This window comes from Homo sapiens, chromosome 3 (assembly GCF_000001405.40).
Source record: "Homo sapiens chromosome 3, GRCh38.p14 Primary Assembly".
NCBI classification, from domain to species: Eukaryota; Metazoa; Chordata; class Mammalia; order Primates; family Hominidae; genus Homo; species Homo sapiens.
In genome coordinates, this window is record NC_000003.12 from 124864545 (window position 1) to 124887853 (window position 23309).

At 46.9% G+C, this 23309-nt stretch overlaps 1 protein-coding gene across 10 annotated transcripts in view, besides 6 other annotated features; it reads right to left on the bottom strand.

The window, feature by feature from the left end:
- Positions 1-23309, bottom strand: part of ITGB5 (integrin subunit beta 5) — a 139471-nt gene that overhangs the window by 102597 nt on the left and 13565 nt on the right. For 3 of the 10 annotated variants that reach the window (XM_005247436.4, XM_006713630.4, NM_002213.5), the window contains exons 1-2: positions 22387-22821; positions 8902-8987 (exon numbers count right to left, since the gene is read on the bottom strand). In XM_005247436.4, the coding sequence (XP_005247493.1) occupies positions 8902-8987; positions 22387-22456 (156 nt within the window). In that variant the 5' untranslated portion in view covers positions 22457-22821. Of the gene's footprint in view, positions 1-8901; positions 8988-14058; positions 14146-17298; positions 17317-22386; positions 22822-23055; positions 23141-23309 lie in introns of those variants that run through there. The other 7 variants (XM_047448088.1, XM_047448089.1, XM_047448087.1 and 4 more) reach the window with 4 other exon arrangements.
- Positions 4159-4659: an enhancer, noted in NCBI's record as "H3K27ac hESC enhancer chr3:124587550-124588050 (GRCh37/hg19 assembly coordinates)". NCBI's record gives its function as "activates a minimal SCP1, AML or CMV promoter by ChIP-STARR-seq in primed H9 embryonic stem cells {active_cell/tissue: H9 hESC(primed)}" and the evidence as "EXISTENCE:reporter gene assay evidence [ECO:0000049][PMID:30033119]".
- Positions 4660-5160: an enhancer, noted in NCBI's record as "H3K27ac hESC enhancer chr3:124588051-124588551 (GRCh37/hg19 assembly coordinates)". NCBI's record gives its function as "activates a minimal SCP1, AML or CMV promoter by ChIP-STARR-seq in primed H9 embryonic stem cells {active_cell/tissue: H9 hESC(primed)}" and the evidence as "EXISTENCE:reporter gene assay evidence [ECO:0000049][PMID:30033119]".
- Positions 18858-19152: a silencer, noted in NCBI's record as "tiled region #8988; K562 Repressive non-DNase unmatched - State 11:FaireW". NCBI's record gives its function as "represses a minimal TATA promoter and a strong SV40 promoter by Sharpr-MPRA in K562 cells {active_cell/tissue: K562}" and the evidence as "EXISTENCE:reporter gene assay evidence [ECO:0000049][PMID:27701403]".
- Positions 20661-21545: an enhancer, noted in NCBI's record as "H3K27ac hESC enhancer chr3:124604052-124604936 (GRCh37/hg19 assembly coordinates)". NCBI's record gives its function as "activates a minimal SCP1, AML or CMV promoter by ChIP-STARR-seq in primed H9 embryonic stem cells {active_cell/tissue: H9 hESC(primed)}" and the evidence as "EXISTENCE:reporter gene assay evidence [ECO:0000049][PMID:30033119]".
- Positions 22210-22299: a silencer, noted in NCBI's record as "silent region_14655". NCBI's record gives its function as "represses an Ori minimal core promoter by ATAC-STARR-seq in GM12878 lymphoblastoid cells {active_cell/tissue: GM12878}" and the evidence as "EXISTENCE:reporter gene assay evidence [ECO:0000049][PMID:35858748]".
- Positions 22760-23199: a silencer, noted in NCBI's record as "silent region_14656". NCBI's record gives its function as "represses an Ori minimal core promoter by ATAC-STARR-seq in GM12878 lymphoblastoid cells {active_cell/tissue: GM12878}" and the evidence as "EXISTENCE:reporter gene assay evidence [ECO:0000049][PMID:35858748]".

Consider the following 23309-nt stretch of genomic DNA (forward strand, 5'->3'; position numbering starts at 1 on the left):
CTACGTTTTCCCTTATCAGTGGGACCTAAACATTGAGCACCCACAGACATAAACATGGGAACAACAGATACTGTGAACTACTGGGACAGGAGAGTTTATGGGTCGAAAAACTACTTAATGGGTACTACGCTCACTACTTAGAGTGCAATATACCCATATAACAAACCTGCACATATACCCTCTGTATCTAACATGAAAGTTGAAAAAAAAAAGAAAAAGAAAGTCCTCCTCACATGAATGACATCCTGATGTCTGATGGCGTAACAGTTTCAGATCCCAGAGACCTGACACTCAGACCCTCTGCCAGGTGTCAGACATAGCAAGTTCCAAGGGGAAGGGCCCTTGACTGCATCACCTGGTGCCATCCCCTGGCTTCCACAGGTGGGGAATCAGAGGTCCACAGACCTAAGTTCACCCAAGAAGTTGAAGTTCATCTGGCCCTGGCTTCTTGGGCCCAAATCCAGTGCTCTTTGCAGCATGTGCCGCCTCCCATTTTAGCCAAGGCCACTGCCAAGTTCTGCAGCAGGAAACTAACTTTGGGCCCAAAGCTTCCATCCTTCTGAAGGCAGCATTTCTTTGCTGCCCCAAATTCAGAGATCTGTTACCTACCAAACATGAGGGATAAATATCCTTTTGCAGAGAAACAGGTACAGAGGAGCCTCAACCTATAGAAGAGGAGGGGAGACTTCATCTCAACAGGCAAAAATGGCAACCTTTTGTTCCTTGAACAAAAGGAACCCAAGCAAGAAGGATGGGCTTCTAATGGGCCACAACACAACTGCTTGCAGATGCTCCCCATGCTCTATGCTGGAAGAGGTTCCTGTACACAAACAAAGCATTGATCCCTGGTCTCCAGAAATGCCCTTATCAAACTCTCCAAAGGGGAAAAGCAGCAGAATGGCAATAGAAAGTTGAAGTGTCCTTTGCGGCTTTTTTCTTTTTTTTTTTTTTTTTTTTTGAGAGACTGGGTCTCGCTCTGTCGTCTAGGCTGGAGTGCAGTGACGTGATCACCACTCACTGCAGCTTCAACTTCCTAGGCTCAAGCTGTCTCCCCACCTCAGCCTCCCAAGTAGCTGGGACTACAGGCAGGTGCCACCACATCCCACTGATTTTTTACTTTTTTTGTAGAGACCAGGTCTCACTATGTTGCCCAGGCTGGTCTACAACTCCTGGGCTCAAGCAATCCTCTCGCCTCAGCCTCCCAAAGTGCTGGGATTATAGGCGTGAGCCACCATGCCTGGCCTTTTGCTGCTTTTAGTTACTAAGTGGTAATAATATAAAAGAGAAAAGAGAGGTGTTTAAAATTTAGATTGTTTTTAGTTTGTTACAACACTGGTGTTTGCAACTTATTGTAAGCCACCATGCTCACTCACCCCATCATCACTGTTACATGGAGGATAAGATGAGGTCTGCTACTTATTATAATATGTTAACACCTGACTCCATATATATTTTGTTTGTTTGTTTTTGAGATGGAATCTCGCTCTGTCACCTAGGCTGGAGTGCAGTGGTATGATCTCGGCTCACTGCAACTTCTGCCTCCTGGGGTCAAGTGATTCTCATGCCTCAGCCTCCCGAATAGCTGGGACTGCTATGCCTGGCTAATTTTTGTATTTTTAGTAGAGATGGGGTTTCACCATGTTGGCCAGGCTGGTCTTGAACTCCTGAGTTCAAGTGATCCACCCGCTTCAGCCTCCCAAAGTGCTGGGATTACAGGCATGAGCCACCATGCCCAGCTCCCTACATATTTTTTGCTAATCAAGGTCTCTTACCCTGCAGTCAAAGCTAGTGTTCAATGGGTGCTTGGCTGTCCAGCATCACAGCCAGTGCATTCAGGTTCCTCTATGCCAGACCAGACATTACATTATTTGAGTGCCATCCTGCCTACCATTGCTGAAGGCTAAAACTCTAAAAAGGTGAGGGTGATTGTTTTGGGGGAAAAGACAAATTCTTGTTTGTTTCTGAAACAGAGTAGAAGAGTTGAGAAACTGTAGGCCCTTGAACAAAAGGAACCCAAGCAAGAAAGGAGGCCAGCATGCCCAATCCCTGGGATGAAGAGGGAAGAAAACAAACTGGGAAAAAGGCAGAGAGCCCAGGGGAGAAGTGGACACAGGCGGGGAGCTGGCTTCTTGCTAAGGCCGACCTTTCTGGCTGGGATATGGCAGGGCCTGGCCCCCTGACCAGCCACACCTGCAGCTCCAACTTGGCAGAACCCTCAGGGATTTGAGGGGAAGGTAGCTGATGACAACCAAGATGTGTGTTGTGTGCCAGCAACACACTGCCACGTATACTCCCTGCCTGGGGGATGGAGAAATCCCTCTGCCAGCTTTCAATGGACTTATTAATTCACTGAACAAATATTTATGAAGTGTCTACAACAGGCCAATATTATTTCTTTCATTGAATCTGACCACAAGGAGATGTTCTTTAAAGAATCTATAGTTTATGTGAGCTGGATTGAATATTGATTCTTTTCATTTCAGTTGGCCCATCTTGCTTCCCAGCCTCTCACCTGTCTCCCTCCTCATGCTCCTACCTCCAATCCTACTGATGCTTCATTGCTTCTTCTCCACATCCACTTCCCCAGGCAAAGACCGCTCACCCCAGCCCAGACTTCACTAGTCTTCTCCCATGCCCGACCCCATTTCCATGCATCCATGGCCTCACTGTTCTTTTCACTAGTCTTCTCCCATGCCCGACCCCATTTCCATGCATCCATGGCCTCACTGTTCTTCTCCCTGTGGGAATTCAGCTCCACAGTGGTGGCCTTGCCTAACCTGGTCCTTCTCCCGGATTTCACAGCAGCCTGGTACTGCCCACAGCCACACCATTTCACGGAGCCTCGTATTCACACCCTGACAACCTCCCAACTTCTGCAAACCCTAAGTGCAATCTCTCTGTCTGCCTTTGCCTCCTTTCTTGCTTTCCCCAACCCTGCTTTCTGTTCTCACAGGGAGCACTGATCCCTCAGCCTTGCCCACTTCTCCCAAACCACTGTCCTCTTGCGAGTGACACGAGCATAAGCTGCCAGTACACCAAGCCCATTCTCCCTTTCTTCTGGGGCACAAAGCTAGAGCAAGTCTCCCAGTTCTCATTGCAGTTAGGCATTGCCATGTGGCTGGGTTTTAGGCAACAGTGCTAGTAGGAAGAATGTGGGCTACCCCTAGGCCCTGCTTGAAAGCATCCGCACACTCTCCTCCAGGCACATTCCTCATGACAACTGGCTAGGTTGTAAAATTTACAATGTTAGAGGGGAAACAAAATGTCCATTTTAAAAAATGATGGACAAAATAGATCATAAACTGCTGGGATTTGTTGTGTGTTGATATGGTTAGGCTTTGTGTTCCCACCCAAATCTCATGTTGAATTGTAATCCCTATAATTCCCATAATCCTCACATATCAAGGGAGAAACCAAGTGGAGGTAACTGAATCATGGGGGCGGTTTCCCCTATGCTGTTCTCTTGATGGTGAGTGAGTTCTCCTGAGATCTGATAGTTTCATAAGGGGCTCTTCCCCCTTTGCTCAGCACTTCTCCTTCCTGACACCTTGTGAAGAAGGTGCATTGCTTCCCCTTCACCTTCCACCACGGTTGTAAGTTTCCTGAGGCCTCCCCAGCCATGGCGAACTGTGAGTCAATTCAACCCCTTTCCTTTATAAATTACCCAGTCTTGGGTATTTCCTTATAGCAATGTGAGAACAGACTAATACATGTGTCTTAAGCTGTGCTGTACAAACAGCACCATAAGGGCTGAGAAGCAGGCGGCCAAGGCTGTCTAGAACAAGGTAGAGAGTGTGCTGCAGAGAGGCAGGGGCAGCATGGACAGGCCAAGACAGGCAGTGACCCATACATCCTGGTCTCAGAGTAGGGGAGAGTCTGGCGACTCTGGATATGAGGGCAGAAAGTAAGTCTGAAACCCTCAGGTAAAGCATGGTGAGAAAATGAAGGCAAGAGGCCAGGCACAGTGGCTCACTGTCTGTAATCCCAGCACACTGGGAAGCCAAGGTGAGAGGATCACTTGAGCCCAGGAGTTGGAGACCAGCCTGGGCAACATAGTGAGACCTGTTCTCTACCAAAAAAAAAAAAAAAAAAAAAAAAATCAAAAACTTGCCTGGATGTTGTGGAATAGGTCTATAGTCCCAGCTACTCGGGAGGCTAAGGTGGGAGGATCACTTGAGTCTGAGAGATTGAGGCTGCAGTGAGCTATGATCACACCACTGCACTGCAGCCTGGGCAACAGAGTAAGACCCTGTCTCCGAAAATAAATTAACTAAATGATTAAAAATGAAAAAAAAAGTAAACAAAAGCAAGAGAGCCAGGGCTGATGTGACACAGAGCCAACTAAGAGAGAACCAGCAAGAGCACCGTGCAGGGAGTGGTGGGAAAGGACACTGATGGACTCATACATGATACCTGTGGGAGGAGACGTGGCCAGCAGGCATGGAATTAGGTTACAAGGAATGTGAACTGCAGGGATAAGGAATCCTCATGCCCACTTCAAGTACAATAAGGGTAAGTCTTCATGGGATCTGGAGCAGGAGAATCCCCATGGAATGTACCATGGGATTCATCCTCATAGGTTGGGAACCTGGCCCTCACCGGCTGTCTACTGGGCAGCAACCCTCAGTGTACACACACATCACATGCTTATTACATCTTTGATGATGTCCTGGGATATATGGTTAAGAAGGCACCCAGCCACACTTACTCTGTCTTGCTAAGGGGTACAGGTTGATCAAAACCATTTGTGGCCAGGCGTGTTGGCTCACGCCTGTAATCCCAGCACTTTGGGAGGCAGAGGCAGGCAGATCACTTGAGCCCAGGAGTTTGAGACCAGCCTGGACAACATGGTGAAACCCCGTCTCTACTAAAAATACAAAAATTAGCCAGGTATGGTGGCACGCGCCTGTAATCCCAGCTACTCAGGAAGCTGGGTAGGAGAATCACCTGGGACTGGGAGGTTGAAGCTAGAGTGAGCCATGATTCTATCACTGCACTCCAGCCTGGATGATGAGAGTGAGACCCTGCCTCAAATGAATAAATAAATAAATAACCATTCCTGAACTCTCCTAACCTGGCTCTCTAAAACACACCCATGTCCTGGGGAAAAGTCACCCCCAAAGAAGATGGGAAGCTGCATTCCAGGGCAGGGATCATAGGAATTTCTTCAGCTAAGAATGAGGCTCCTGATGAGCAGAGAGGGAGCCCAGTGGGCTGGACAGGGAACCTAAGTGTGGGCTGGGGTGATAACAAGCTCCTAGGGACACCTTCATTTACTGTCAGCATCAGGAAGTCTGACTTGTGGAAGTACTAGCACAAGGAAAGAAGCTATTTAAAGTAAAAATGGACCTGGCTTCTGGATTTTCTAGCCACATGTCACTAGAAAATACTCATGGATGACAGTGGCAGCCATTCAGGAGGCTCAGCTAATCAGCCTTGTCCACAAGTCCTCTCATGCACGGATCTCATTTTACACTCCCAGTCATGCTGGAGGGTGGGAACAATCACCTTCATTTTACATATCAAGAAATTAAGAGTAAATCACAGCAAAACTGATTGAAACTTTGGTTTTTCTAACTTCATGTCTTTTTAACAGTACTCTTATATCAAATACAAATTCCTGCCAGATTCTTGGCTGGATACTGGGTATCCAAGATAAGACAGTTTAGTTTCTCAAGGAGATGATGATTTAGTTGGTAACAGGCATGAAAACAAATTAAAACAAAAAGAGGTTATAAATACTAAAGAAGCACAGAGTACACGGAGACAAAGAGGTAGTCATGGCCTGCACCTAGCAGACACACAATAAATAGCCATCCAGTGAAATCCTTTGAGCAACTACTATGTGGTAAGCGCCATTCAGGAATACAGCAATGAAGAAAACAGATAGAACCCCTGCCCCAGTCGGGCATGGTGGATCACACCTATAATCCCAGCACTTTGGGAGGCCAAGGTGGGTGGATCACGAGGTCAGGAGTTCAAGACCAGCCTGGCCAAGACGGTGAAACCCCGTCTCTACTAAAAATACAAAAACTAGCCGGGTGTGGTGCCACGTGCCTGTAATCCCAGCTACTCAGGAGGCTGAGGCAGAGAATTGCTTAAACCCAGGAGGTGGAGGTGGCAGTGAGCCGACATCATGCCACTGCACTCCAACCTGGGCTACAGAATGAGACCCCATCTCAAAAGAAAAAAAAAAAAAAAAACCCCAGTGGAGGGAGCTTACATTCTCATATCAAATGGATACACAGATAAATAGACAGATGGATGGATGGATAAATGAATGGATAGACAGATGGAGACAGTCAGGTATGCAGGTCGTTATGGAGTAGATGAGGTTAAACTGATTAATTTTTTTTTCTTTTTTGAGACAGGGTCTTGCTTTGTCGCCCAGGCTGGAGTGCAGTGGCACAATCTTGGCTCACTACAGCTCCTCCTCCCGGGCTCAAGTGATCCTCCCACCTCAGCCCCCCAAGTAGCTGGGACTACAGGCATGCACTAGCACACCCAGCTAATTTTTTGTATTTTTTGTAGAGACGGGGTTTCGTCATGTTGCCCAGACCGGTCTTGAACTTCTGAGCTCAAGCAATCCACTCACCTCAGCTTCCCAAAGTGCTGGGATTACAGGTGTGAGCCACTGCACACCAGGCCTGAATTGATTCTTTTTTTTTGAGACAGAGTCTCGCCCTGTTGCCCAGGCTGGAGTGCAATGGCCTGATCTCAGGTCACTGCAACCTCCACCTCCCAGGTTCAAGCAATTCTCCTGCCTCAGCCTCCCAAGTAGCTGGGATTACAGGTGCATGACACCACGCCTGGCTAATTTTTTGTATCTTTAATACAGATGGGGTTTCACCATATTGGCCAGGCTGGTCTCGAACTCCTGACCTTGTGATCCACCCGTCTCAGCCTCCCAAAGTACTAGGATTACAGGCGTGAGCCACCGCGCCTGGCCGAATTGATTCTTAAAAACGATAAAACAAGGTATCAGTCAAGGAAAGGAGGGGCCGGGCATGGTGGCTCACATCTGTAATCCCAGCACTTTGGGAGGCCAAGGCAAGAGAATCATTTGAGGTCAGGTGTTTCAGACAAGACTGGGAAACATAGAGAGATCCCACCTCTAAAAGATATTTTTTCAATTAGCCGAGCACAGTGGCCCACACCTGTAGTCCCAGCTACCTGGTGGCTGAGGTAGGAGGACTGCTTGAGCCCAGGAGATGGAGGCTGTAGTGAGCTATGATCACATCACTGTATTCCAGCCTGGGTGACAGAGCAAGATCCTGTCTCAAAAAATAAAAATAAAAATAAAAATAAATAATAAATAAATAAATAAATAAAAGAAGGAAAGGAGGAAGAAAAAGCCAGGAAGGCTCTCCAGGGAGGGGAGAAACACCGGGAAGATCAGGCAGGGTTTCTCAAGCTGGGCTCTCTGGGTATCTGCAGGTGGTTCCCTCTGGCTAAATGTCAGGTCAGACAAGAGATGATGGTAGGAGGAAGGCAAGAGCCACAGAGCTTGGATCTGCCCTGCAGGTCATAGAGAACGAAAGGAAGATTTTAAAGAAGGGTGATAACAAAGATGGTACAATTAATCACAAATATGATTAAAGGTTTATATGTTGGGAAGATTCCACTCTCAAAGTAAATTGAGAACTCCCAAAGTTTTAAAATTGGCATTTTAGAGAGTTCATATAGCAAGCAAGAGGCCATATAGTCTGGAGGGAAAAGCTTGGGCTCAGAGGTCAGATTAAAACCCCAGCTTTGGCACACTTGTGTGACCTTGAGTGAGTTATTTTACTGCTCTGAGTCTGAGATTTTCATCAATAAAACAAGTGTATTACACCCACCTGACAGAGCTATTGTGAGGATCAGAGATATTGTATGATGTACAAAGTGTATGACATCTAGTAGAGTCCCCACATGATCATTTTTAGCCATCATAGGTTAAAGGAATCCCTAGACCTCTGAGGCTGCCATGATGGAGACTAACCCCAGCCTCCCGTGAGCCATCTCTTGGTCCTCCTGACAGGGACCACGCACTGCATTGCAGACTGAGCCAGTCAAAAAGTCCTGGATTCCTTTACAAATAACCTTAATGGGGCACTTTTACAGGGAGGGTTTGTGACCCAGAAATTTCCTTCAAGAGAGGAAATTTAGAAATCGATCATTTTCTGATTAGTCCACCAAGTTACATTTCCTTCCCTCCTTCCTTCCTCCCTCCCTCTCTCTTTCTTTCTTTCCTGATTTATTTAGTAGAGATAGAATCTCGCTATGTTGTCTAGGCTGGACTCAAACTCCTGAGCTCAAGCCTCAAGCAATCCTCCTGCCTTGGCCTCCCACAATGCTGGCATGAGCCACAGTACCCAGCCCATATTGCTTTATGATACCAATAGCCTAACATTGTCCCAAACCTATATCTCTTTCTAAAAGGCTTAAAGAAATGGCAGCCATTATTTCTAAATAAAATCATTCCATAAAGGCTAATTCCTAATATTTATTCTCAAGTAAACACACTAAGATGACTGGCTTCCACCAACATGCCAGCCATCTAGATATGTTTTGAATCATTATGCAACAAACTCAATTCACAAGCTCAGGTCTTTTGGAGTTCTTATACCAAAGATCAGAAAACTATAGATGAATCCTAACTGGTCTCCAAACAAAAGGGAAGGAAAGTCTTGTTTCCCCAAAACAGGATTAGCATTCCACAGTATCAAGAAACCCAGTTTATCTTATTGTCTCATAAACTTGGATTTGTCATCACTCTGCCCTGATGGGGAAGAGGCAGCTTACAGAATCTGCACAGGATTTTTATGTATAGTGAATTAGTGTGTTGTGGTGTTGGCCTCCTTCTCACCCTCACCCTCGCAGCATTCCTTCCCTTCTTCCTCCCCTCCCCCACCTACATACCTCTTTGGAGCACCAGGCACATTTTGGGTGGATTAGCAGACATTCTTCACATGAGGTGGCACTTCCACTAGTGCATATGTTGAGACCTTTAAAGCAAGATAAAGATGCACTAATTAGTTCCTGGCTATAAACTTCATGGATCAAGCCTTTGAATAGGGGGAATTACATCCTTCTTTAACAGGAGGCCTCTCTGAGTCTAAAGGGTGCAGGTACCATTGCTAATTGCAGGTTAAGGCTCATTTGCTAAGGCTGAACATTGAGTTTTTGAAGCATTCACCAAGCATGCACGCTTGTGTTAGCGACTTCCATTTCTTCTGCTAGACCCACTTGGATTCTCATTTTCCCCATAACTCAGCAAATCCTCTCTTGCTGAGAGAAAACAAGGCCCCTTTACACTTAGTCTATCCAAAATGACAAAAATAGTACAAAAAGAAAAGAAAAGAAAAAAGAATACATTGGTTTTATTCAAGAATTTTTTTAAAAAAATAAAATTCTAAATCAAATACTCTCACATCAAAATGTACAGTGTACTGAAAGAAGCCATGCATCCCAGGAATACAATGTTGAATTAAGATAGAGGAAATCCATTGATTCAATATATCTATTAATAGGTCAAATAAAAAAAAAAAAAAACCCAAGGCTAGGCATGGTGGCTCATGCCTATAATAATCCCAACATTTTGGAGGCGAAAGCAGGAGAATTGCTTGAGCCTAGGAGTCTGAAACCGACCTAGGCAACATAGGGTCCCTGTCTCTAAGAAAAACAAAATTTCACCAGGTGTGGTAGTGTGCACTTTGAGCCATGATCGTACCACTGCACTCCAGCCTGGGCAACAGAGGGAGACCCAGTCTCAAAAGCCGGAAAAAAAAAAAAAAAAAAAAGAAAGAAAGAAAAAGAAACTGAAGAATATCCCCAAAATGGAAAGATATCCTGTGCTCACGGTTTGGAAGAATTAATATTGTCAAAATGTCCATGCTATCCAGTCTAAAAATTTAATTCACTCTTTGTCAAAATCCCAATGTCATTTTTCACAGAAATAGAAAAAACAATCCTAAAATTTTTATAAAACCACAAAAGTTTGTATGAAACCCAAATAGCCAAAACAATCTTAAGCAAGAAGAACAAAGATGGAGGCATTGTGTTACCTGATTTCAAAATATACTACAAAGCAACTGTAATTAAAACAGCACAGTACTGGCATAAAAACAGACATGTAGACCAATGGAACAGAATAAAGTGCCCAGAAATAAATCCAGGCATTTACAGTGAACTGATCTTCAACAAAGTTGTCAAGAACACACAATGGGGAAAGGCCAGTCTGTTCAATAAATGGTTTTAGGACAACCAGATATCCATATACAGAAGAATGAAACTGAACTCTTATCTCACACTATATTTAAAAAATCAACTCAATATGGTTTAAAACCTTAAATATAACACCTGAAATGTAAAACTACCAAAAGAAAATGCACGAGGAAAGCTCTCTGGCATCAGACTAGGCAATGACTTTTTGAATATTATCCCAGAAGCACAGGCAACAAAAATGAAAATAGGCAAATGGAATTCTATCAAACTAAAAAGCTTCTGCACAGCAAAGGAAACAATCAACAGAGCAGAGAAACAACCTACTATATGCGAGAGAATATTTGCAAACCACACATCTGATAAGTGGTTAACATCCAAATACATAAAGAATTCAAACAACTCAATATTAAGAAAGCAAATAACCCAGTTACAAAAATGAGCAATGGGCCAGGCACCGTGGCTCGCACCTGTAATACTAGCACTTTATGAGGCCGAGGTGGGTGGATCACCTAAGATCAGGGATTAGAGACCAGCCTGGGCAACATGGTGAAACCCCATCTCTACTAAAAATACAAAAATTAGCTGGGTGTGGTGGTGCACCTCCTAATCCCAGCTACTTGAGAGGCTGAGGCACGAGAATCACTTGAACCCAGGAGGCGGAGGCTGCAGTGAGCCGAGATAGTGCCACTGCACTCCACCCTGGGTGACAGAGCAAGACTCTGTCTCAAAAAAAAAAAAAAAAAAAGACAAAAGCCAGTGCTAGCAAGAATGTGGATAAAAGGGAACCAGGGAAACTCTGTACACTGTTGGTGGGAATGTAAATTAGTACAGCTATTATGGAAAATGATATGGAGGTTCCTTAAACCAGAAGTACTATGTGTTCCAGCAATTCCACTTCGGGGTATATAGTCAAAGAAAATGAAATCAGTATGTCAAAGACATACCTGCACTCTCATGTTCCTTGCAGCACTATTCATAACAGCCAAGATATGCAATCAACAGACAGATGAATAAAGAAAATGTGGTATTTTTAAAAAGTGGTATACACATACAATGTAATCTATTCAGCCTTAAAAAATTGAGAAAATCCTGTCATTTGGGACAACATGGATGAACCTGGAGGACACTATTAAGCGAGGCACAGAAAGACATACTGCATTATGTCACTTATACGTGGAGTGGAAAAAAACTGAACTCAGAAATACGGAGAGTAAAATGGTGGTTGCCATGGCTGGTGGGGTTGAGGTGGGATGGAGAAAGGCGAGATGGTTAAAGGGTACAAAGTTCCAGTTAGAGAGAATGAATAAGTTCTGGAGATCTATTGTGCAGAATGGTGAAAATAGTTCATAATAATGTATTGCACACTTGAGAATTGCTAAGAGAGTAGATCTTAAATACTCTCACCACACAGACACAAAGATAACTATGGGAGGTGATAAATATGTGAATTAGCTGGATGGTAGTAATCACTACAAATATATACATATAATAAAACATCATATCATATACTGTAAATATACACAATTATTTGTCAACTACCTCCATAAAGCTGGAAAAAGAAAAGAAAAATTTAAAAAGTAAAAGAGAAGAAATGCCAAAATAGGGGTTAAAAAAAAAACAAACCAGTATCTTGCAACTGGAACATTTCCCTAATTTGCTAATTTTAACTCCCTGCTTCTCCTTTGTCACTAGCAGTAAAAACTCACAGAAATCGCAAACGGCAAAACTGCTGACTGGCAGAGGGGTGGGTGCAGGAGGTGGTGGTAGGGGAAGGAAGCTTTATCATGTCACCCCAGGGACTTTAGAAGGAAGAAATACCAATTGGCATAAGGATAGTAGCTGGGACCAGAGGGAAGGGAGAAACAGGCAGAAGCTGAGAGGCTAGGAAGAAAGGAAGAGAGGCTTTGAGAACCCACAGGGGGTGAGAACAAAGGTTTCCACCAGCCCTAACCCTGAACCCTAGGCCTCCTCATCCTTATCTACCTCACCCAGGGAGGCCTACAGCAGGAGGATCTGAGGCTGCTGGGACCCACCCACCTTGCCTGACCTCACTTCAGCAGGAAAAGCCATCCAGGGCCAAATGTGGACGAAGAAGGTCTGAGAACACAACCTACTGGGAAGCTGGACCTGCCTGTGTATGTGCTGACAACCTCCTAATTTTAAATGAATTCACTCACTCAGTGAGTTTTCTTTTCTTTTCTTTTTTTTGATTTCTTGTTTGTTTTTTTTTCTTTGTTTGAAACAGGGTCTAGCTCTGCTGCCCAGGCTAGAGTGCAGTAGTGTGATCATAACTCACTGTAGCCTCAAACTCCTAGCCTCAAGTGATCCTCCCACCTCAGCCTCCCAAGTAGCTGGGACTCCAGGTACACATCACCACACCTGGCTAATTTTTTTTTTTTTTTTTTGTGGTGGAAGACAGGGTCTTGCCATGTTGCCCAGGCTGGTCTCAAACTCCTGGGCTCAAGTGATCCTCCTGCCTGGGCCTCCCAAAGTGCTAGGATTACAGGCGTGAGCTACCACACCTGGCTCACTTAGTGATTTTTAAATAGGCACTTAAGCCTTTAAAAACAAAAGTGTGTGCAGGAAAAGAGTTGCAAAATGTCAGTCCCATTTTTTGGTCAAATCCCCGTACCTGTCAGCAATCACTATCTGCAGGGGAAAAAAAATAAATCTAGAATGAAAGTAACTTTGCTCCTCCTCTCCTCAACCTTATCAAATACAAACTCAGGCTCGTTGTGGCATATCCTTTTCTTTGATATATAAAATCATTTTCATAAAATCATGAGATTATAGCACCTTGGGGCTAGGATTGTTTTAAGATGAGCTAGTCAAGTTGCCTCTTTTTATAGATGAAAATGTAAGATAATGAGAGTATGTGACTTGAAACAAGGAGCCCTATCTACAAAAAAGAGGTCAGACGGGGTCCTGACCAGCAAGTGCCCACATGGGATACCTGCCTGGTGGTCCCTCTGCCATCTTGGATGTAGGGCTGGTGTGACCTGCTGAGCTCTAGGGTCCTCTGGAGATCTGTAACAGCCCCTTTATCAGAAAGGAATTTGAGGTCAAAGGCCTCACGTAGGACTCTGATCAAAGCCACATAATTTTTTTTTTTAGACAGAGTCTTGCTTTGTTGCCCAAGCTGGACTGCAGGGGCATGATCTTGGCTCACTGCAACCTTGCTTCCCAAGTTCAAGTGATTCTCCTGCCTCAGCCTCCTGAATAGCTGAGATTACAGGCATATGCCATCACGCCTGGCTAATTTTTGTATTTTTAATAGAGATAGGGTTTCAGCATGTTGGACAGGCTGGTCTTCTGACTTCGACTCCTGACTTCAAGTGATCTGCCCACTTCAGCCTCCCAAAGTGCTGGGATTATAGACGTGAGCCACCGTATCCAGCTTCAAAGCCACATACATTTGCAAACAACACTTTATAATTACCAGAGCCTCATCATGAGCTCTGGGAACTTGGGCTGGAGGTCCAGGGCTCAGGACAATAAGAGCTCCTCAATTCTGATGCAGATCAGACTGAGCTCTGGTCTTCTGGTCCACCAGCCTAAAAGCCCTTACTTAATTGGACACAATACCAAAGAAACTCAAAGGATGTGATAGTCACCTGGTATGAAAACATCATGAACAACTGTAAAACAATTTGTCATATAGCATTACTAACTGTTTCTGTTATTATTAAATATTCACATGGAAAAGTAAAGTCGTTTGTACTCAAAATGATTGCCCTAAAATTCAGTTGCTGTTGGGACACATTCAAATTCAAGAAACTCTGCACTTAACACACCCTAAACGCTGAGCACTGGACTGGGGGGATGCTAGAAATGCACAGGTGAATGACCTACCAGCCCTTGATGTCCAGGAACTCACAGTGTGCCGGGTACCAGGTACCAGACAGGTACTCCAGGATCCAAAACCACAGGCTGTGTGCTGGTATGTGTAATGTCAGACTCACTCCCTTTGGCATCTCTCCTCTCTCCACCTATTAATATTTCAGAGTTTGGACTTTGCTGGATGAGTCATTTGGCACCAATAAGCATTTTGAAAAGGAAGGAAGCAATGAATAAAAAACTAAACACACGGAGTTCACAAATGTCAGTGTTAGGTCTAGGTCATGGAAACAGGAACTAGCAGCCCAGATGATAGCCACATCTCATCTTCTTTGCTGTTTGCATAGTGACTATTCCCAGCTCGGTGGCAACTCCATGTATCTCTTTTGCCTCACGTCTCTGAAGCCCAGTGTTTACTGCAAACTGTAATCTAAAAATATGTTCTTCCAAAATTCACTGACTCACCCCTGTGTTTCATCAATCATTCAAGGAGCCACCGCATCCGGTTGATCACTCCTTTCAAGATGCAAGAAATGTTTATCCTAAGCCAACCCTTCCTGTCTGCAACCTCTAGCCCCAACAACCCAAGCCAGGCCCTCTGGTCTAAATTCCTGCCATAGCCTCCTGGCTGGCCTCCTTCCATTCAGCCTCTCTCCACTTCTGTACACCCCATGGGTCCAAGGTCAGACAACTACTACTAAAACATACATCTGCAGTTGGAATTTCCTGATCCAAAATATTCAGTAGGATAACAGAAGTGAATACAGAAGCTGAAATGGCCTTTCTGCCTTGAAGATGGCAATGCCCTGGAATGCTTCTCCCCACACCCTGAACCAGGCCCTCACATTTGTCACACAATGGACAAAAGAGTCCCAGTATAGACTCCAGCAACTAAATAGCCATATGTCTAAATGTTACCATGAAATGCAAATATGCCCTAGGAAGGTTCTATCCCAGCAGTTCTCATTCAAGACTGCCTTTATGAACATCAGACATCTGCACAACACTCAACAATACCAGCCTTACAGATCTGACTTCTATTTTTAAAACACCAATTCATATAATGGAGTGCTAGACAGCTATAAAGAAAGAATGAGCATGCTCTCTGTATTGACAGGAAGCTTACCCCAATACATCGCTAAGTTAAAAATAAAAAGCAAGATACATACTGTGTTTTGTGCTGCCTCTGAATAAAAATGAAAGAGGGATATTCGTAACATATCCATAGAAACCCTCAGGATACATAAGAAAGCTTATTAGCTTTATAATAGGAACTATATAGGCACAATTTATTTAGAAAAGGGGGTCACAGAAATATCCCACACTGATGGGCAACAAGAAAGAGAGGCTTCTCGCTTGATATGAGTTATACTTTTAAAAATTATGGGACTATATTACCTATCAAAAGGTATTTTTTTAAAGAGGCAATTGATTACCTCTATGTTCTTCTTCCAAAATCACCTAACTCTGTCTAATCACGGGAAAAAATCAGAAAATCCCAAGAGGGGGATGATCTACAAAATATCTGACCAGTGCTTCTTAAAACTGTCAAGGTCATAAAAAACAAGGAAAAGACTGAGAAACTGTCACAGCCATGGGAACCCAAGGTGACATGACAACTCAATGTATTGTGGTATCTTGGATGGGATCCTAGAACAGAAAAAGGACTTAGGTAAACACTAAAGAAATCTAAACTGATGGACTTTAGTTAATAATAACATATCAATATGGTTCATTAATTATAATAAAGGTACCATACTAATGTAAGATGTTAATAATAGGCAAAACTGGGTGTGAGGTAGATGGGAACTCTTTGCACTATCTTCTCAATTTTTCTGGAAATCTAAAACTGCTCTAAATTCTTTGAAGGCTTTTTTAAGGGCCAGGCACACTGGCTCACTTCTGTGATCCCAACAATTTGCAAGGACCAGGTGGGAGGAGCAGTTGAGCCCAGGAGTTCAAGCTACAGTGGGCCATGATCACGCTAATGCACTCCAACTTGGGTGACAGAGCGAGATTCTGTCTTTTTTTAAAAAATAAATAAATAAATAAAAGAGACACCGGGCACAGTGGCTCATGCCTGTAATCCCAACACTCTGGGAGGCTGAGGCAGGCAGATCACCTGAGGTCAGGAGTTCAAGACCAACCTGGCCTACATCGTGAAACCCTATCTTTACTAAAAATACAAAAAATTAGCCAGGCATGGTGGCACGTGCCTGTGATCCCAGCTACTTGGAAGGCTGAGGCATGAGAATGGCTTGAACCTAGGAGGCAGAGGTTGCAGTGAGTCAAGATCACACCACTGTACTCCAGCCTGGGCAACAGAGTGAGACTCCATCTCAAAATAAAATAAAAAAGAAAGGGAAAAAGAAAAGAAAAAGTACATATGTAAAAGTTTGTTTGTTTGTTTGTTTGTTTGAGACAGAGTCTCTGTCTCCCAGGCTAGAGTACGGTGGTGTGATCTCAGCTCACTGCAACCTCGGCCTCCAAAGTTCAAGCGATCCTCCTGCCTCAGCCTCCTGAGTAGCTGGGATTACAGGTGCACACCACCATGCCTGGCTAATTTTTGTATTTTTAGTAGAGACTGGATTTTGCCATGTTGGCCAGGGTGGTCTCGAACTCCTGACCTCAGGTAATCTGCCTGCCTCGGCCTCCCAAAGTGCTGGGATGATAGGTGTGAGCCACCCTGCCTGGCCAAATCTTTTAAATAAAGTTTTTCTAAGCCCATTAAAATCCTGGGGTGAGAGAAGGGATCATCTGAGTACCAAGCATTGTGGCTGTGTCAGGGACACAGGTAAATAAGACCAGGGCTATTAACCAGGTAGCAGGTGAGACAGACCAGCTGCAGCCCCCAGTCTCTCTAATGGAATGGGCCATGAAAGCAGGAGGAGGAGGAGATAGTTCTGCTCCACCCAGGGATGTAGGGAAGGAGAACAGGATATACTGGGTATAAAAGATCAGAGGACTTGTTCTGTCACTTATTGGTTATGTGACCTAGGGCAAGTCACTTAACCTTTCCAGGCCTCAGCTTCCTCATGCAAACAACTCAGGGAGTAGACCAAATGGCCTCCATACCAGCTCAAAAAATCCTAACACAAAGCCAGGAGTGGTGGCTCATGCCTGTAATCCCAGCACTTTGGGAGGCCAAGGTGGGCAGATCACCTGAGGTCAGGAGTTCAAGACCAGCCTGGCCAACATGGTGAAACCCCATCTCTACTAAAAATTAAAAAATAAGCCAGGTGCGGTGGTGTACGCCTGTAATCCCAGCTACTCGGGAGGCTGAGGCAGGAGAATCGCTTGAACCTGGGAGGCAGAGGTTGCGGTGACCAGAGATTGCACCACTGCACTCCAGCCTGGGCAACAGAGTGAGACTCCAATTAAAAAAAAAATCCTGACACATTCCAACAGAATCTCTTTCTCCCAGGATGTTTCTTCCTAACAAGCCGCATGCATAGTCCCTGACTTCAAAGCTAGCTGTGGAAGGCAACAGGGAGTTGAGGACGGGATGCATCGCCCTCTTCACCTCCCAATTACCAAGATTCAGGTTCATCCATTATTCATTCAACAAATATGTGCCTGGTGCTGTTGTAGGCATGGAGGATACAGAGATGAATAAAACCAACAAGACTCCCTTATTCACGGAGCTCACATCCTGGCTGGGGGAGAATTCTACTTAGGGGAAATAGTGAAGAAGATATGTAGTTACATTAGATGGTGGTGAGTGCTAAGGACAAAAATTAAAGAAGAAAAGCAGATAAAAAGAACTCGGGATATAGGGAGGAGGTTGCAGCTTTAGCTGGGAGCGGCCAGGGAAAACTTGGCTGAGCAGGAGATGCTAGAAAAAGGGTTGCAGGGTGGAGGAAGCCGGTCATGCAGATATCTTGGAGGACAGTATTCCAGGCAGGGAGAAGGGCTGCCATGGGAGCATGGCTGGCACGCTGAAGGGACAGTGGGAGGCCCATGCTGCTGGAGCAAAGGATCGAAGGGAAAGTGGTGAAGGAAAGTCAGAGAAGTAGGTGGAGAGTTCGTGGAGCCTGGCAGGACTCTGGGAAACCATTCGAAGGTTTTAAGCAGAGAGATATGATCTGACTTGAGTTGGATCTCAGGATCACTCTGAGGGACAGTTGAGAATAACTAAAGAGAACAAGTTGCAGAAGTAGGTCCCAGCTCTACAAGAGACAACCAGCTCTGAAAATGTCTGGCTGGAGTTGGGGAGGGAATCCTATAAAGAGAGGGCAGGGTACCCCGCAGTGCCTTCAAAGCATCAGCCTTAGGGGATGAGTCAAGCCTGTCTTAGAGCAAACTTTTCACCATGAGGCCCGGGAAGTAAACCCTGCATTCAACGGAAGCAAGAAGCCTCAGAAACAAATGGGTGCCTCTAAATAAAGCATTCCTTTACATTTATAGAGGCCATTAATCCCATTCGAACCGGAAAGAAGGAAAACAAACCACGGCAGTCAGTTCTCCAAGGCCCTCGGCTCCAGCCAACTGGAAATACCTGTGAAAAGAGACCCTATCCCATTAACCCAGCTGCACACTGCCATGTGAAAGGGGCCCTATTATTTAAGTAGTTTGTAATTGTCCCACATTACTGATATCGTTAAAGCATCTCAGAATATTTCCATGGCCAGGCTGAATAAGAAAAAGTAGTTACCAGGCCACGCAGGCACAAAAGGCCTTTTGCCAAACTACTTAGATATTTTAATTCCCCGTTGCCTCAGTAGCTAAATAAGCATGGAGAACAAGCAGGCGGGGAATACTAATTAGAGCTAATTAGACCCTGCCCTCTTCTGCCTCAATCCCCTTTATAAAAAGCTCCCCCAACTCAAGGATGATGGAGTTAAAATGTAAATCCATAGGATAAACAGCAGTCTACAGACCAAACCCACTGTTTGTATTTCATTGTCCTGTCAGCTCTAAACCTGTGCCTGGTTACCTACAGAGAGCTGCAGACCCAGCCAAATTCCAACAACCCCATCACAGACCACAGGAAATGTGGTAGGGGGTTGGGGGTAGAGGAAGGGTGCTGCCAACATGAGTCCACTAAATAAAACAAAGGGCTTTCTTAGGATGTGCAGAGCATTCACTAGAAGAACATTCGATTGCTTTTTTAAAAAGAAATGAATGTGATAGCACACATAATTCCAGCGGTGTTGCAGGATCCTCTTTATAAGACGGTGTTCCTCTCTCTGTCTTAGCAAAGGCAGCGTGGAAAAGCCTCACCTCAGTGAGACCCCTGGTTTTGTGGGAAGACCACATCCTAGGATTCTGTCTGAAGGCTCTTGGCCATAAGATAATAAAAAGAGCAGGAGATAGCCCTTGGTGGGGACGGGAGGGGGTTGTCAGCCGGCCAGGGACTTGTTTGAAATGAGCCCCTGAAACCTAAGGTCAGTTTCCTGCTGGAAATCCGTACTGAGATGAAAGTGGGGTTAGAGCAACAGAGAGAGGCACTCAACCACTGGTCCAGGAACACCCAGGCAGGCATGGCCCTGAGGGTCATCTCTTTCTTTTCTCTGAGTAACTAGGTTTTTTTCTTTCAAATAATGTTCCTAGTGGCAAGACAGAAACACTCCCTGAATAAAGTACCTGTAGTGCTTCAAGAAAACAAAGAAGGGAAGGGAAGCAAAAAAAAAAAAGAAAAAAAAAAAGAATGTTGAAGTTAATTCAGCAACACTGAAAAACTAGGAGAAATGACACAGATGTGAGTCAACCTCTGCTAATCCTGAGAAGCTTCAGGGCCCTAAGAGGTAAGCAGCAAGTTCTGGAGGCCAGTGCCATGGCTTGCTCCACCACCACCACCACCAAAACCTGTAGTCAAAGAGATGGGCAGAGGCCAGCCGTGGTGGCTCACACCTGTAATCCTAGCATTTTGGGAGGCCGAGGCGGGCGGATCACCTGAGGTTGGGAGTTAGAGACCAGCCTGACCAACATGGTGAAACCCTGTCTCTACTAAAAATACAAAATTAGCCAGGCGTGGTGGTACATGCCTGTAATCCCAGTTACTCAGCAGGACAATCACTTGAACCTGAGAGGCAGAGGTTGTGGTGAGCTGAGATCATGCCACTGTACACCATCCTGGGCAACAAGAGTGAGACTCTGTCTCAAAAAAAAAGAAAAGAAAAGATAGGCAATGGGAAAACAGGACCCCAAAAGAGTTGCAAATGAACCACCATGCTCAGTGCTTTTCTCTTCCTTAAGCTGAGTCGGTAGGACAAAGGGCACTGGACCAAAAGCCATGGTCCCTGGTCCACCACTCCTGACCCAAGTAGAGGGGAAGGGCAAGTCACTTCCTTCCTGAGCCCATATGAGAAAATGGACATCACCGTGAAGATGTACGTGAACTCTGAAAAAGAGAAAGCAAGATGCAAGTGGAAAATAATGTATTTTTAGAAATTATTCGCAGCCAGGCGTGGTGGCTCATGCCTGTAATTGAAGCACTTTGGGAGGCCAAGGCAGTTAGATCACCTTAAGTGAGGAGTTCAAGACCAGCCCAGCCAACATGGTGAAACCCCATCTCTACTAAAAATACAAAAATTAGCCGGGCATGGTCGCAGCGCCTGTAATCATTGCTACTTGGGAGGCTAAGCCAGGAGAATTGCTTGAACCTGGGAGGTGGAGGTTGCAGTGAGCCGAGATGGCACCACTGCACTCCAGCCTGGGCTACAAGACTGAAACTCTGACTCAAAAAAAAAAAATTATTTGCAACTAGAAATTATTATTATAATTCTGTTTGTCAGAATTACAGAATGTCAAGCTGGAAAGGAACTTAAAAGCCATCTCCTTTGGCAGTTTCTGAACTTTTGGATTTCAAAGAAAACTAAGATTTAAAAACAAAACAAAAGAAACAAACAGAAAAAGAGAAGGGGAGCTTAACATAGGGTTGTCAGATTTTCTTATTTTGCCAAAATTAAAAACTACTAATATTATTAAGAAGTATTAAAAGAAAATGTTCCCACCAAAAAAAGAAAAAGTGCCTAATTTCAAACTAAAGGAAAGTCCTTGTGGAGCAGGGGAGCGTTGACAACAATACATTCCTGTGTGATGCAGGCTACATCTTCCTGCTCCTCGCTTTCCCTAGGGACCCATGAAAATATCCGTGATGGGCACTGGCTGCCGGATGGGTGTTTGGAATCCACTCATCTACTCTCCAAGCTCTGGAGTGATTATTTTCCCATTTAAAACAAAAACCAAAAACCTTGCTACAGTATTAAGTTTGAATTAGGGTCTGAACGAAGTTATTGTTTGCTCAGACCCCTCCTCCGCTCTTAAACCTAAACCTCCACTGCCTTCATGTAAATGAGACACCGTGGGGGAACAGTCCTCCCTTCGGGCAGCCAGGCAACCACTTGGCTCACAAGAGCAATCAAGTATCTCCGGCTTGAAAGTTAATAGAGCACTATTATTTCCTAAAAGAAAGGAGAAAATCCGCATCCCAAACAAGTGCATCCTTCCTCGAGGGCCTCCAAACTACCACGTCCAATCATCTCCCAACTCTGAAAAGTTAGAGCAGGTAACCGAGGGATCCTTGCAACGCTGCCAGCCCACCGCAGCGTCGGGCTAAGGCAATCTCCACAGCCCCTGTCCTCTGCTCCAGAATCCTCCACAGTTAGGGGAGTGTGAGGCTCCGAGCGTGTGCAAATCGCGGGATAAAGTCGGGCAGAAGGAATTTAATAGGGAAGTCCCAGGTGGGGCTGTGGTTTGGGACGCGGGTGCCCCCTCGGGTTTGCGGTGGCCTAGGCGAGGAGGAAGCAGGCGGGGGGCGGGGAGGGTGGGGGCTGCATCTTCAAAGGCAGGCGGCTAGCCTAGGCGCAGCGAACTCCAGGATTCGCTGTGGGCCCTGTGCACCCGCTGTTCCAGGAGGCGAGCCCTCCGGAGTGGAGGTGGCCCCGGGCTTTGGCTGGGGTTTCGAGACTCCCTTGCTTCTCCGGGAACAGGGCACCGACGGCATCCCCCCAGCAGCCCGCCCGCTCCCGGCCGGCCACAAGGACCGCTTTGTGCCCGCCAACGGAGAGCCCGGGCCCCAAGGCAGGGCTGGCGGCGGTCCTCCCCGTGCCCTGGGCGCGGGCCCTGGCGGGCTAGGTCAGCAGGCCGGCCAGCCTGTTTACACAGGAAGGGAAGCTCCTCCTCAGCCCGGGAGGGAACAGGAGACTCACGACAGCCCGGCGGGGCTGCGCGCGGGGAGCGCCCCGCGGGGCTGTCCCCCAGCGACTGGCCCACCAGGGAGTGCCCCGAAGGCGCCCTCCGCCCTCAGGCACCGCCTGCGCTCCCCGCCCCTCCGAGACGCCCGCCCGCGGCTGAGTGTGCGACAAAGTTTCTCTGGGCGCCGTGGGCGGCGCGGCTTACCTGCGAGCCGGGGCAGGAGCGCGCAGAGCCCCAGGAGGCAGGCGTACAGCGGCGCCGGGGCCCGCGGCATGGTGGGGCGCCTCCCTCAGCGGCGGCGCGGTCGCTGCACTCCGCGGGGGCCGGCGGCCGGGGCTGGGGCCGGAGCGCGGGGGCCGAGGGCCGGGGGCCGCAGCCGCATGCCCCGCGCGCAGCTCCGGCTCACGGCGCCCGCGCTGGCCCGCGCCCCGCCGCCACCATCCGTCCCGCAGCACTCACGGCCGAGTCCCGGGACCGCGGCTGCCCTGGCTGGCCGGCCGGGACTCCTAGTGTGTCGCCGCTCGGGACGGCCCCAGCGGGCTGCTCCGGGTAGGGGAGGGGCTGGCTCCGCTCGGCGGCCGCGACTTGGGCTCCGAGACGCGCCCAGCGCCGAGACTCCCCCGCGCGCCGGCACACTCTGCCCCTGGCCTCCGCCCCTTCCCTTCCTCCCTCCGGCCCGCCAGGCTCCACTTTCCTCCTCTCCTTTCTCCTCCCCTTCTCTCCCCTGCCAGGCCCTCGCCCGGCCGCCACACGGTCAGCTTACGGTGAGGCGGGGCGGGGCGAGCTCCGGGCCGGGCCAGCTCCGCCCTGTGCGGGGACCGGCCCGGGACGCGGAGGCCCTACGGGCCCAGGTGGAAGTCGCTTGCGACTCACTTGGGGCGTGGGGGGCTCGAAACCACTGAGTAGAGCCCGCTCCCGTTGCTTAGCCGCCCGTCGCCACGGGAAAGGGGCGGGGCACGCTGTATTAGGCGAGCCGAGATTACTTGGGCCAAAGGCGGTTGCTAGACTGCGAGAGGGAGAGCAGGTACGGGGGTCGTGCCGGTACCGCCTCATCCTCCCAAAGCCTCACTGCCGGCGGCCTGAGATGGGACGTAGACGCCCGCGCGTGGAACCGCAAAGCGACTTCT